Here is a 15,366-nt window from a genome sequence, read left to right as displayed (position 1 = left end):
TAGAAAGGACCCAAATTTCCTGGAACTAATACAGACCCATGGAAACATCCCAGAGCAAGAACATAGAAGCTCAACGGGTGGGATATTTTTCAGAAAATTTAAACTCCGATAACAAGGATTTTAGAACCTCTCTTCTGCTGATAGGAGCTTCCTCTGTGTGACATAGAATACAAACCCAAACACTGGTTTTTCAGGTTTAAAAATATTACATATATATAAATTAAAATGTTAAAATACATATATACATATATATATATATATATATATATAACATATATATAAGAATCACATTTAAGAATAAGGTCTCCAATTCTTTTCTTCTGTGCTTTTCATTTCGTTTGAGATCGAATAAAAAATAACCTTTCACATTACTGCATTTTACTATCACTTTAAGGGAGTTGTTTTTATTTTAGGACATAATGTGCAAAATCATGCTATTCAACATTACATTATATTCACACATCATGGAAGTTAAATAAAGACACCTTGCTGATTTCTTAATATAGATTCAGCTAAGATTAGTTATGCATCTGCCACCTTAACATTCAGATTGGGGGTAGAAAAAAAAAGGCTTAGTTAAAAATCACACTCGCATGGTAAGTGCTTAGAATTTCATGGTTCATTTAAGAGCATCACAATCAAGAACTTAATTACGTTAAAAGAAAATGGTATTTCCTTAACAGCCAAAATTACATTCCCCCTTAATTTCTCTCCTTCACCCCACAAAGTAGAGCATTTTCCTTAACCTCTTGTTTTTTGACCTATGAAATAAGGGAGTTAGCTAGATTATTTTAAGACCCGGTTCTATCATGCTGTAATTTTATGATTTTTAGGGAATAGACTGATGAGGAGGCAAAAAGGGAACAGAGCCTAGACACTATGAGAATTTGGCCAATTCAATTCCTAAATGAAACAGTATTTCTCCTGGCACCTAACAACTGAACTGTGCCCCAGGGCGCTGTCAGTGGTCTGAGAACTTCGAGTGGAAGGGCAGCAAGGTATTACAGAATGACAGCTATCCCAACCCCTCTACTGTGCTTCCACATTTGAAATTTGTGTCTAACAACATGCTATTCAATCACTGAATGTCAAAAAACATGGATGCCTCACAACGAAAATCTGTGTGTTATGGCACCAGGATGGACTGAGAACTAATAATGGGAGGGTTTATATATATATATAAATATAAGAGGTATAAGTGCAGTTTTGTTACACGGATATATTGAGTAGCAGTCAAGTCTGGGCATTTTTAGTCTAACGGTGACCCCAATAATGTACATTGTTCCCATTAAGTAATTTCTCATCCCTCACCTCTGCCCACCTCACACCCTTCTGAGTCTCCAATGTCTGTTATTCCACATTCTAGGTCTATTGTACACATTCTTTAGCCCTCACCTCAAAAGTGAGAACATGCTGGTTTTGACTTTCTGTTTCTGAATAGTTTAACTTAACATAATGGCCTCCAGTTCCATCTATATTGCTGCAAAAGACATAATTTCACTCTTTTATATGGCCGAATGGTATTCCATTGTGTATATATACCACATTTTTTTAATCTAGTCATCCATTGATGGATACTTAGGTTGATTCCATATCTTTGCTATTGCGAATAGTGCTGTGATAAACATATGAGTTCAGGTATCTTTTAATATAATAATTTCTTTTCCTTTGGGTAAATATCCAGTAGCAGGATTGCTGGATCAAATGGTAGTTCTATTTTTAATTATTTAAGAAATCTCTGTACTGTTTTCCATAGAGATTGTACTAATTTACATTCCCACCAACAGAGTATAAATGTTCCCTTTCCCTTCAACATGCTATTTTTTGACCTTTTTGTTTTAAGAGAGACAAGAGTCTCATTCTGTTGCCCCGGCTCTAGTGCAGTGATCATGGCTCACTGTAACCTCAAACTCCTGGGCTCAAGCAATCCTTTTTCTTCAGCCTCCCAAGTAGCTCAAACTACAAGTGGGCCACCATGCCCATCTAATGTTTTTATTTTTTTAGAGACAAAGGTCTTGCTATGTTGCCCAGGCTAGTCTCAAAATCCTGGGCCCAAGTGATCCTCCTGCCTTAGCCTCCCCCAGTGTGGGGATTACAGGCATGAGCCATCTCGTATGGCCTATTTTTGACTTTTTAATAATAGCCGGTTGATAGAGGATTAATGGGGGAAGGGAGAACTTATTTTTAAATCAGCAAATCTAACAATAACTTCCAGTCTAAGTAGCAAACTGTTTGTGTTCTGCAAGTTACTATAAATGTACAGTATAATCCTCCATGCTATAGAAGTACATAATTTGCTCCGGTGGTGGATAATGTTCAAGTTGGTTCAATTCAAAGAGAATCTAACTGGTGATGAGTCATGTTCTCCCAGTAAACAAAACATGAGGCAAAGGCTCATATGTAGATAGTTTATTTGGGAATGTGATCCTAGAGAGTAAAAGGAAGGAGTGAGTGAAACAAAGAAGGAAAGCCCAAAACCGACGCGATGTGTGAAGGGGTTGGCTGCTTGGTGATGTGTTGCTCTATTATGGAAAACCTTTCCAGGAGCCTTAGGAAATACATCTCAGAGCTGTGCATGAAAAAAGAACAAGGAGAGAAACATTTATCCATCACCTTCCATTACTCATTTGTCAAGGTTTGTCTCATGGATGTTAATATCCTTGCACTTCCTGTTCATACATGTATGAGTGCCAGTCAGTTCCCACAGGAGTACATGACAAAGTTAGAGGAACCTCTGGACTGAAAGCAAGAAGCACAGGCCTAAACCAATGAGCTGCTAGGGTGCACCTATGTGATGCTGGTTGAAACTCATGCAGAGCTGTTTGCTCAACCGTGGCTGCAATAGGAATTCAGGCCAAGATGATTTGAACTGGTGCACGCAAGTATCAGGCGTTTATCAGTCAGGATGGGCCAGTTCTGCTTCAGTAACAAATGACCTCACAGTTTCAATGGCTTTCAACAATGAAGTTTTATTTTTCACTCATGCTACAAATCCAGTATGGGTCAGCTATGGTTCTGTGCCATTTTCTTCACTCCAGGATCACTGCCAGTCATTGTGACTAAGGGAAAAGATTTAATTTGTGAACCATGCACAGTTTTGTAAAGCTTCTGCTTGGAAGAGAGCCACATCACTTCTACTCACCTTTCATTAACCAAAGCATGTCAGAGTTCAAAGGGTTAAGACACATAATACTCCTGCAGGGAGGGGCAATGCAAGAAAGGTGATTTCAAGAGGAGAAATACAATCTGTCATACTCTGCCTTCATTTTCATGGGGAGAAAGCCAAGGGTAAGAGAAACAATTCACTTCAGGGAACCCTGTGCAAATTCCTTCACAGCACCATCTTTTCTTTCAGCACATGACCACCCAATATTTTTAGAAATATTAAGTCCTAATCAAGAAAGCAGATCATTTTGGAAACAAAGGGAAAAAAGGCATAGAGGATACCTTTGGGAGAAGCATTTGAAATCATCTAATTCCTCTACTGTACATTCTTCATTTGATAGATGTTGAGATGAGTTCTGTTCTCAGAATCACAAACGAATTGACTTCTAAGCAAGTTAGTCACAGACCTGGGACTAGGACTTGGTTCTCTGCATTTCCCATTCTGGGGTAAAGTTAACAGGGAACACATAATTCTGTATTCAAATTGGGAAGCAGAGAATAAACAATTAGACATGTAACATAGACAATTTCAAATTCTGCCACGTTCTAGAAAGACAGTAAGAGAGTGATATGATAATGAGTGGTGGGGTACCGAAATGATGGTCTCTCTGAGGAGGCAACATGTACAAAAACTATTAAACCATTCATATAAAATCACAACCTGATTTTTAATAATAGTTAGCAACATTATCCTCTAAGGGATACTGTTCATCTATTAAGATCTCTGAATGGCTTTTACCCTCTGTGCTGTCTCTCTACTTCCCACTCCCCGCTAAATCTCTTTCTCTTAATTGGCTATTATTATATTTTTTCTTGTTGAACTTATTAAATGAGATTTTATGAGTGCTGTTCTTAATTTGAAAATCAAGGAAGTAAACTATTCTATATGCCCATTACCTAAATTAAGTTGCTCTTTAAGTATTTTCTGTATATCAAGAAGCCTTTAAAAGAAAATTCATATTCTCTCCCCACCAGCTTCAGCCACCTCCTCTTCCCCTATCAGTATCTAATTCTTGTTGAAGAAAGATTTCTTACTTTTCAATTCTGCATTTGGGCAAAACTACAGGTTCCATGAAAAAACTTCCTTCCTAAGCTATATTTCTTGGGCAGAAATAAACGCAGTCAACGGATTTCTAAGAATGACCCCAGTGATTCCTCTTCTTGTGTAATCCCCTCCGTTTCGAGTGTGGGTGGAGCCTGTGAATATATGATAGATGGCGCTCCCACGATGAGCTTACAGTACATGACAAAAGGGAGATTATTCTCTCGGGTTGGTCTAATCTAATACCTTGAGCCCTTTAAAGTCATAGTGTTTCTCTGGCTGGAAAATAATAAGTCAGAGAAATTAAAAGTCTGCGAAGATCCAACCCACCATTGCTGGTTTGAAGATGGAAGGCGCCACATGAAAAGAAGTGAGGGCAGCCTCCAGCTCAAGAGAGTGGACCATGGCTAACAGCCAGCAAAGCAAACGGGAACCTCCTGTCTGTAGCTGCAAGGAATTCTCCCAACAAACTAAATGAGCTTGGAAGTGGATTCTGCCCCCAGAACCTCCAGATAGGAGCCCCGGCTGGCTGATACCTTAATTTTGGCTTTCTGCAACTCTGAGCAGAGAATCCAGTCAAGCTTGAGGCTTGCCCAGAATTCTCACCCACAGAACTATGAGATAATAAATGGATGTTATTTTTAGCAGCTAAGTTTGTGGCTATTTATTATGCAGCAATAGAAAACTAATGCAACATGTAACTAAATTTATCAACCGAGGTGTTCTGTTAAACAGCTAAATAATGACTCTTTCCCACCTTCAGAATGTGCACCATTAATTCTCACAAAAGAAAAGAGCATTCAACAGGGGAAAGAGGGAGGAGGTCAGTGATGGAAAGGCAGGACCCAAAGTGGGACCGACTAATGGGAAACGCCAACGCTGCCCAGCTGTATGGTGTTATTCTCAGGTGAGGCCATCAACTACTCTAAAGAAAGAAAGAGGCAGAGTAACTAGAATAAACTACAGTGTACCAAGCCACTAGTGATAGGAATCTAGATACAACCAGCTAATTTTCTTTCCAATTCTTAGCACATAGGGCAGAAGGGAATGGGGATATCAAGAAATTTTTTAAAAGATGCCATGCATTTTTGGCATTTTTCTGATTGTAAATTCACATGATTATATTCAGAGAGTTCAGAAGCATTTTACATACTACAGCAGACAAAACTCTGTATTCATCTAATGCCATTTGATTTTCCTCTTTCTTAGCACACACACAAAAAAGGCTTTAGTTCCCAGGGTCTCTTACAGATAGGTTGGGGCCACTTGATGGAGCTCTGGTCAATGGGATGTAAGCAGAAATAACAGAAGTCACTTCCAGGCCTCACTCTATTTTTTTTTTTTTGAGACAGAGTTTCGCTCTTGTTGCCCAGGCTGGAGTGCAGTGGCGCGACCCTGGCTCACCGCAAACTCCACCTCCTGGGTTCAAGAGATTCTCCTGCCTCAGCCTCCCAAGTAGCTGAGATTACAGGCATGCGCCACCACACCAGGTAAATTTTTGTATTTTTAGTAGAGATGGGATTTCTCCACGTTGGTCAGGCTGGTCCCGAACTCCCAACCTCAGGTGATCCACCCGCCTTGGCCTCCCAAAGTGCTGGGATTACAGGCGTGAGCCACCGCGCCCAGCCCAGGCCTCAGTCTTAAAAATCATCCTGCGCCAGTCTTCACTTGTCCCTGAAGAGGTCATGTTTTAAGATGATAGGCCACCAGATGGAGGGAGCTTGGACCCCTGAGTCACTGAATGGAAGAAAGCCTCCACAGACCCTAAGGACTTCGCAGGAGCCAGAAATAAGCATTTATTATGTTAAGGTTTCGAATTTGGGGGTTGGAGGTGGGGCAGATATTTTCTTATTAAACCATACCCTACCTTATCCTGAATAATACCCACATATTTTCTCATTTGATTTAACAGCTTTATATGCAGTCTCTTTCTCTTAGATATTTATCTTGTTTTAGCATAACACCCAAGCATTACACAGGAATTTGAATATCAAATTTAATTAATGTTACAAGAAATTCCTATCCTAATACACTTTGATGTTTATATTAGATGATTTCTGTCTTACATAAAATATAAAGAAAGGTATATAACCTGATTTATGTATGTATATATGTGTGTGTCTGTGTTTTATATATACACACACACATGCACACATTTGTACTTGTGTGCACCTGAGTATAAATATATACACACATATATGTAAATTTATACATAATTACTAGTAATAGGAATAATGACAAACTCCCTTCTGCAATGCCAAATTAAAGTCCGCTTATCCTTAACTACATTTCCATCCCCCACAGCCCCTGCCCCCAAATCAGGCAAAAAGCCTCCCTCTCAGATCTTTTCAGCTAATTTAAGGAATGTCAACATGGAACAAAGACAAGTTATTGCAAGAACTTGCATTTGTTTAGTGTGGAGAAGGACCCACAATGAGAAATTTGGAAAAGGTGTTAACTATTTACAAACCAGGAGGCAAAAGTAAATTCACTGAACTCTCTAACTCAATCAACTCATTTTCCATTTACTTGAATTTCAAAAGACCTAAAAAGAGACAAAGGACTAATCCGTATTCGTTAATGTACAAGATTATAATTAATCTAATGTCTGCTTCAAATTTACTATTATCTATTAAAGAATAAATAATTTTACAGTCCTCTAATGTAGGTCTTAAGCTTTAAATCACTGACCATAACTAATAAGCAGCTTAATAGCAAGAATGCCCTAAATAGAGCCACAGACCACAATTTCACCGAGCATAAATCATCATCATTTTTAATGCAAACGCAACAGCAAATCTCTGTAATTACTGGGTGCATTTTGAATCATTTTTATTATTACTGCACTGGCCCCATTAAAAACCCAAAACTGAACTGCATGGAATATAAAACTGGAATTATGACACACTACAAACTCTAATTGAAATCCATAAATTTTCTACTAGTATCCAGAATTTATTTTGTTGTCAAAGAATTTCAGCTATGCAGAATTAACTTTGAAAGTGTTCATTTTGTCTACAGCAATAAGTAACAGCATTTTACACTGCCAAATTTGGTGGTCCATTCTGAAACAAAATTATGTGAATTGTTTCTTATTCGCTCAGGATTTTACATTTCTACAGCAAATAATGATATGCAAAAAATAGAGTAAAAATCATATAGAATATACCATCAACAAAAGGATATAAAGCAGTACATCACTTCCCATCCCACTGCAAAACCTCCACCCATCAGAGCTGACTACAACAGACCCTGCAATGTCAGCATAAATGAATCTCCTTACTAAAAATGGCAAAGGTATGTCGCTAAATTTGCAAAAGGGTAACAAGGACACTATGACAACAGTTTTATTTGTGTGAATATAAGAAATGAATACAGGATAATCCACCAAGCCATTCTGAGAGATGGCCATACTCTGAATATAACTTTCTATATAAGTTTAAGTGCTTATAACTTAATAATCACTTCTTAAAAACCCTTAATACTCCTCTGATGAGGGATACTCTAGATAACTATAAGTCATGTTGTTTTGCTACACATATAAATTTATATAAATGTTACTCTGGGAAGAATGATTGGTTATGTGGGAAAATCTAAGATAGTGTATCTTTCAGAATTTCAGATAAATATTCCATAAATACTGGAATTCACATGGACATATCTAAATATACTATTTACTATTAACATCATACAGCTGATCATGCAATGCAAGTCAGCTCACTAAAATCAAATCTTCTATATTTTGACATTAACTTGTCTGTTGTCCACAATGGGGGTTACAGCCCTGCAAGCCCAACAATTTTCTTATAAAAATGTTATGCCACCTTAGGAAGTATTTTATAAATTATCTGCATTATAATTTTCTATTCACAGTATACTGTTAAGGGCCATAATCTCTTGTATCTTAACTTTAAACATACCTTTCTCATTACCTTTAAAAGAGAGGAGCTTGCTCTCCCTTAAACGTTCCTTTCCCACGCTACACGTCTGCTTGTCTTTTACACTCTCCTGAGATGCCTCCAAAGCTTCTCCCAACTCATATCTAGACCTGACCGCAAGCCCAGATCACCTCATCCTGAAGAATTCATTTTCCCTATTCCGAACCCCTAATTCATTTAATAACCATCCTGATTTCCCATATTTGCTGCCTCAAGCTGTCACTTAACTTATGCATTTAATATTTCACAGATTTGTCTTTGTCAACTGTAAGTTCATCCTTAGAGACCATATCTTAGAGTTGCAGTAGTAAAGAAAATTGTCCATAATTCTCAATACCTAGCCCTTGCATAATTTCAGAACAAGGTATCCTTTCTCAAGTATACATACCTAAATATTATAAATTATGGTAATTATAACCAATTCAGTATATCCTGCATAATGTGGGTAGGTGTCAAGCAAATAAATCAAACACACAAACACCAATATGAAGACTCTGATAGTAAATTGTTTTTAATTTAAATTTTCTGTCATGTAGGTTCAACTTAGTTCTATAATTCTGCCCTCACTCTCATTAGAACTTTCTCTAGCAATGGAAGAAATGAGAGATCTAACAAAATGCTCTGTTTTTAAATTGCAAAGTTGTTTCTAGGTATCAGAACATGTGTGTTTAGGCAAATTAATGTAAACAGGGATAAAATAAACATCTTTCCATCAAGAAAAAGAATTTTGCAGTTAGAAGGAACAGGACTTCCGCTCTTAATTTTGTCATTCTTTGATCCTGGGACAGATATAGGTTCAGTGGCTTAAAAAAACTAGGATAGGGGAGCGGGGTTAGAATGATGCCAATCAGTGGTTTTCAAGTCACATTCCTCACAGTTGCCAGGCCTGCCCAGGGGAGCTGGTGACCAATCCTGAAACCGTCTTTGCAAAATTATAACTGAGATAGTGAAAGAGATTTAACTTAACTGCTTTTATCTTGCTTTTAACCTTTAAGCTGTCCTTGTTTATTCCTGGGTGTGGGCTGAACTAACTTTTGGAGAAACTTAGTTTATAGTTTATAGTTTAAACAAAGACAGTAACAGCCCTTTCCCAAGCAGACCTCCTTCATGCCTGGGGACTAGATTGCTTCTGTAGGACTAATGTTAGCGACCAAATTAAAAATTATGGTTTAGGAGTTATGCAGTTTGAGGCTACAAAATTTTAACCCTCTCTAAACTGCTCCTAAGATCAGTGCTTGAGATATTTTGCAGACCCTGCCCTTGACGGATCAGCTGGCACCAACCAGATCAATCAACTGGCTCATCTGATCTTGCGGCCCCCACCCAGGAACTGACTCAGCGCAAAAAGACAGCTTCAACTTCCTATGATTTCATCCCTGACCAATCAACACTCCTGGCTCACTGGCTTCCCCCCACCCACCAAGTTATCCTTAAAAACTCTGATTCCTGAATGCTCAGGGAGACTGATTGGAGTAACAATAAAACTCCAGTCTCCCACACAGACGGCTCTGTGTGAATTACTCTTTCTCCATTGCAATTCCCCTGTCTTGTTGAATCGGCTCTGTCCAGGTAGTGCGCAAGGTGAACCCCTTGGGTGGTTACAAATTTGGGGGCTTGTCCGGGATTGTCCTTGTGGCTACCTGCCCCTGGTTCAGTGGCTCCCCTCCAGCAATGGATCCAGAAGCCAGCCCAAGCGGCCACCTAGTTCTGGGGACTGGGGACTGGGGACTCTGGTACTCTCTCTACTGGCAGGGTGCTGCCGACCCAATATGCATGGATTTAATTGCAATGGAGAAATAGTCCTGGGAAGACGTCCCTTAACTGTAGCCCTATGACAGGGTATCTGTCTGTAGCCCCATGGTGGGTGTCTTTCTGTAGCCCCATTGCGGGGTGTCTGGATTGGTGAGTATCCTAGGCACTGCCAATGCCTCCTTCCTTCTCCAAACTGGTTCTGTAGCCCTATGGTGGGGTGTTTGTAGCCTCACTGCAGGGTGTCTCTTTGTAGCTCCACTATGGGGTGTCTGTCTATAGCCCCATTGTGGGGTGTCTGTTCAGCTCCTGGGGGATCTTGGTTGGCTCTTTCTAAGTAGTAGGAAGAGTCCTGGTTTGGGAGACTTCTCAACCAGGAAGATTTTGAGGAGGTTTCTCAGACGGAGAATAGGACAATCATTTGGAAGGGATACTCTTGGAGTTCTTGGTTAGGGATCTGATTTGGAAGGCCTTCTGTCTGTCTCGTCTTTGTGTGTGTTTGTATATGTGGAAGGGATCTCAGAAGGGGTTGCTGATGGAAATCCAGCATGGCTAACTCAGAGAACCCTCCTTATTTGTCTGGTCACATTCAATGAGTCCTAAAGAAGGCTCAACAGGCCTGTCTCTCTGGGTAACTATCTGCTCTTTGCCTTGCCCAGAGACCCCATTGTGAATTACCGTTTGGAGGTCGTCCCTTCCCACCTGGAATGAATCAAAGACAACAGGGACCAACGGGAAAAAGTTTGAGCTTTGCCAGGTTAATACTTGGTGCCGAACAAGGTGACTAATGTTTGTTTTGTTATGTGTGTTTTGCTGGAATGGAAAATGTTAATTTGATCTCCCCTGCAGCCCACTGGGCAGCATCTTGCAAATTAAGAATCTTGCATATGGTTCCATAAAACAGGAAAGGGTGATTGTCTCTGGTAAAGTGGCTTGAAGGGCCTGGTGTCGTGGCTTACGCCTGTAATCCCAGCTCTTTGGGGGACTGAGGCTGGCGGATCACTTGAGGTCAGTAGTTCGAAACCAGCCTGGCCAACATGGTGAAACCCTGTCTCTACTAAAAATACAAATATTATCCAGGCGTGGTGGTGGACACCTGTAATCCCAGCTACTCAGGAGGCTGAGGCAGGAGAATCGCTTGAACCCAGGAGGCGGAGGTTGCAGTGCGCTGAGATTGTGCCACCACACTCCAACCTGGGTGACAGAAGTTTTGAGAAGACTCCTTCTCAAAAAAAAAAAAAAAAAAAAAAAAAAACGCGTGGCTTGAACCCCACAGCTATGGTGCGGTGAGCAGGGTCATCAGAAGCCACTCCATTCTTCAGGAAGCTGCAGAGAAAGGGAGCCCGGAAACCTGGTATGCTGGCAAAAAAGGGTAAGAAATTCCTACCAGCCAAGTTTCTGGACCCCCCCCCTCTCTCTCTGTCTGGGTAAACAGTAAATGTCACTACTTGTCTCTCTGCAAGGGTTTGATGAACAGAAAAAGGATTTGTGAGACTCGTCTTAGGCGGTAGCAAATCTGGTGTACTTTGTGCTAAGAATTTGCTTTTCTGTGTTCTATAATGGAGAAAGGAGTATCACAGGATAGAATGTGGGTTTAAGACCCCCATAAGCTTGCAGCAGGCTGGTCAGTTACAAACTTTGCTACAGGTCTCTGAAACCAATAAATACTGTATGAAATTCCTCTGTCTTGTTCTGTGTCCTTAAGAGCTTAACCTTGTGACTATGTGGGGATACTTTCTCTTGGTTTCCGCCATCCAGAGGACAGGAATTTTGAGGTCCATGTCATAGCCCTAAAAATTATCTTAAGCAGTTAAAAGCCATTGCAAGCTTGAAACTGGCTTCTCTAGGCTCCTTCTGGGAGGAGCAATAGAAACTGCTCACTGCTCTCCGACTCAGTAGCTAAGGCTTTGCTTTTTGACAGTAGCAGCCTGGGTTCTATTCTTGGCTTCCGGAATGATTCCTTTCCGGTTTTTTACTTATGTAACTTTGCCATTTATTGAGGTTTTCCCCCCTATTAGCTTCTGATTCGCAGTCTTAAATTTTCCTTTCTCTAAACTACCCTGGGGGACATTCTAAATCTTGTAAAAGAAAAAAAAGAGAGAGAAAAAAAAGAAACTGCTCACCATCTCTTTAAGACACCTATGTGTCCATGGTTAAGTTATAACCTTAATTATGTAAATCATTAAAGTAATTATGCAAATTAGTAAAGTAAAACTGATTAATTTCATGTGGGACGTTACCTGTGGTAAAATTCAAAAGCCAAAAATATTGGCTGCTTGGCGTGGCTAAAGTTGGGTAATAAAAAAATTTTTAAGGATTTTTTTTTAAACACTATGATTAAAAGCCAGCTTAATTAAAAGTGGATAAACAAACTATAGATATATTTAAAAGGCCTTTAGGTTTTTCTCTTCTTGGAACTTGTTTTTCTAGAAAAAAGTTTTTTCTTCTCAGTCAATTGAATTATTTTTCTCCATTTTTTTTTTTTTCATCTTGCCACTCTTAACACACATGTAAGAGGTCCTAAGATAACTTCTGGTAGCCTGGAACTCATTGGGAAAAACAGAAGGCACCGCAGGCCCCATTTTGGGAAAAAAAACAAAAACCTCTGTTTTCCTCATGAAACCCCAGGAATTAAAAGCGGATAAATCCCTCTCAAAATCAAAGGCACTGTTCTGTTTTGCACTGTGATATCTGACGGTTTTGAGTTTTGGGGGTATCAGAAATTACTTCGCATTATGAAAGAACTTTGGTGTGTAATAACTAGGTAGGAAATATACTTCAAGGGATTGCTAATAATAGTTATGGAGGGATACTTGACTCTTTGCACACCTGGATCGGAGAAGCATGCTCTCAGCCACCTGGAAGACAAGGAAACATCCTCGCCCGCGACTGGGAGATGAGACTCCGGTGAAGGGGCTGATTACAAAATGGGCTGATGGGCTTTGAGTTGCCATGCAATGAAATGCAGAGTAGCTGCACCGCACTGTCTTCTCCTGGAGTTATTTCCCTCCTTTTGGGGATCCAGGATCCAGTATAAAATGGCACGCCTAATTTTGGGGATCTGTCTTTGCCTTCAGCTGCTTACTTGCTGCTTCTTTGGCCCTAGAAATGCATGCTTTCCTAGCCCTGTTGCTCCAAGCGCTCCACCCTTAAGCCAGTAATCCAATTACAAAACTGGCAAATGAAAAATCTTCTAAGTGCCGAATCTTCTGTCTGCCTGTATGTATATGTGTTGTGTGTGTGGGTGATGTTTATATATAAAAAAGCTCTGATTAATTGGCTTAAAAAAAGCACTTAAGTCAAATATTTTGTCAGAAAAATAAAAACTTTAATGCCGTTTTGTTCACATGACCTCGGTCATCTTTTGGAAATAAGGACAGTTTTAAAAATTATTAGTAAAATAAAATGTCTTGAAAATGTAAACATTTGGTCTAAATGAAGGTCAGATATCCGATTTGCTAAATGCTTTAAGGTCAAAGTGTTTCTTTAACTTTTGAAAATTGTTTGATTTACCTACTTTGGAGCATTAGATTATAAATAAGGCCTGGGGACATACGAAGAGCTATGCCCGCTAGCTATGCTGAAAACAGTCAAACCTTATCTTCATTTCTGTCTGACGTCCTAGGATCCACCCCGGTATATAGTTAAAAATCACTTACTTATCAAGTTTTTCACTAAAAATAAAAGTTGCTAAAAGTTAACATTATAACATACAATTAAGACAACTGGAGAAACAGTTTTACATGCAAGGTGTGTAAAACGTGTTTTTGTTAAAAGATTATAAAAAGGCACAGGAATATGGCTTTTGTTAGAGGGAATATAATTTTGACTAGTTCAGAGGGTCTTAAAGATTGTCTTAACCTAAAAGAGTAATGAAACAAAACTAGAAGTTCAAGCAAAGTGAAAGGGTTTGTAATGCGTTTATCTTATTAAAAAATTCTGTGGGTCTAAACAAGTTGGCTAAGATTTAAAAAAAATTATTTAGCTTTTTTCCATAGGTTAAAACACTAAAATGATACTGTTATGGGGCCAGAATCTGGGCCCATGTGTCCAAATAACAGGGTTTTCTTAAAAAATTAATCTACTATTTGATGGAAAATTGTAAAGGGTTCTAAAAAGTTTATAAAAATCTTACCTTATGGTCAAATTAATTAAAACTGAACAGATATAAAATTGTATTTAAAAAACTAGCCTTAACATTAAAAATTCACTAATACAAACATGAAATTTACTTTTCTCTTTCAAAGACGATTTTTATGTAATGTTAAAAAATAATAAAAGGGTTTTATTTTCTCCTTTGGGTAAATGGCAAGGAAAAAAGGGAGAAAAGAAAAGAGACAAATTTAGTTGGCCTCATGCTATCTCTATTGGGTCCTGTTTGGAAAGCTGAGTCTCCTCTATCAGAGAAAAGGTTTTCTCTTTTTTTTTTTTTTGAGACGGAGTCTCTCTCTGTCACCCAGGCTGGAGGGCAGTGAGTGGATCTCGGCTCACTGCAAGCTCCGCCTCCCGGGTTCACCCGCCATTCTCCTGCCTCAGCCTCCCGAGTAGCTGGGACTACAGGTGCCCGCCACCACGCCCGCTAATTTTTTTTTGTATTTTTAGTAGAGACGGGGTTTCACCGGGTTAGCCAGGATAGTCTCGATCTCCTGACCTCGTGTTCCGCCCGCCTCGGCCTCCCAAAGTGCTGGGATTACAGGCTTGAGCCACCGCGCCCAGCCGGTTTTCTGTTTTAAAAATTTTTTTGGAGTTACCATTTTGGCCAAATGAATAACTTTGGTTATGGTGACCTGGAATTCTATTTCGTGATATCCAGTGTTTTAAACCTTTAATATTTAACAAACTTTCCAAAATCAAATTTTAAATCATGTCTCTTTCAAACCTAATATTTTAGATATTAGGTCCTCTAAAGTCTAAAAATGGCATTTGGCTTATTTGGTACAAAAATCAAACAGAAAGCATTGTCAAATATAAAACGGCGTTTAGCGTTCTTTGGTCTATACTTGTGTAAATGTGTTATTGGTATATATTCCAAAATTATGTAAAACTGCTATAATTCTAATATGACTTACTATATGTTATCAGTAATAATTACAATTATTATGTTAAATGACTATGTGCCACAGAGGTAAATTTCCTCATCAATTGTGACTTTAACTGTGGCTGCTCTAAAATGTTTCTGTCATCCACAGACAGTTATTGTCTCACTTTGGTCCTCTTTAAAAAATAATTGTATAATCAGCTATAAAATTTAACAGGTGCTCTTAAATGTGGGTTTCTGATAAATAACTTTGGAAAATTATAACATTAGAATAAAAAACCTGTTCAAATAAAAGAGTGAATGGTGTTTGGTTTTCTTTGGACTGTATTTGTATAAATATGTTATTATATATATTCCAAAATTATAGAAAAATTCTGTAATGTTAATATAATTTAGTGTACATTATCAATAATTATAATTATGTAAAATTGTTG

At 38.8% G+C, this 15,366-nt stretch overlaps 1 protein-coding gene across 2 annotated transcripts in view, besides 1 other annotated feature; it reads right to left on the bottom strand.

The window, feature by feature from the left end:
- The window catches only part of SAMD5 (sterile alpha motif domain containing 5), a 445,991-nt gene that overhangs the window by 402,598 nt on the left and 28,027 nt on the right, over positions 1 to 15,366 (bottom strand). The gene's annotated exons all lie outside the window — the stretch shown is intronic.
- Positions 13,624 to 13,824: a silencer, noted in NCBI's record as "peak6202 fragment used in MPRA reporter construct". NCBI's record gives its function as "represses an SCP1 promoter by STARR-seq MPRAs in K562 erythroleukemia cells {active_cell/tissue: K562}" and the evidence as "EXISTENCE:reporter gene assay evidence [ECO:0000049][PMID:32103011]".

Source organism: Homo sapiens, chromosome 6 (assembly GCF_000001405.40).
Source record: "Homo sapiens chromosome 6, GRCh38.p14 Primary Assembly".
In the NCBI taxonomy this organism is placed as follows: domain Eukaryota; kingdom Metazoa; phylum Chordata; class Mammalia; order Primates; family Hominidae; genus Homo; species Homo sapiens.
This window is presented reverse-complemented; position numbering and strand designations above follow the sequence as displayed.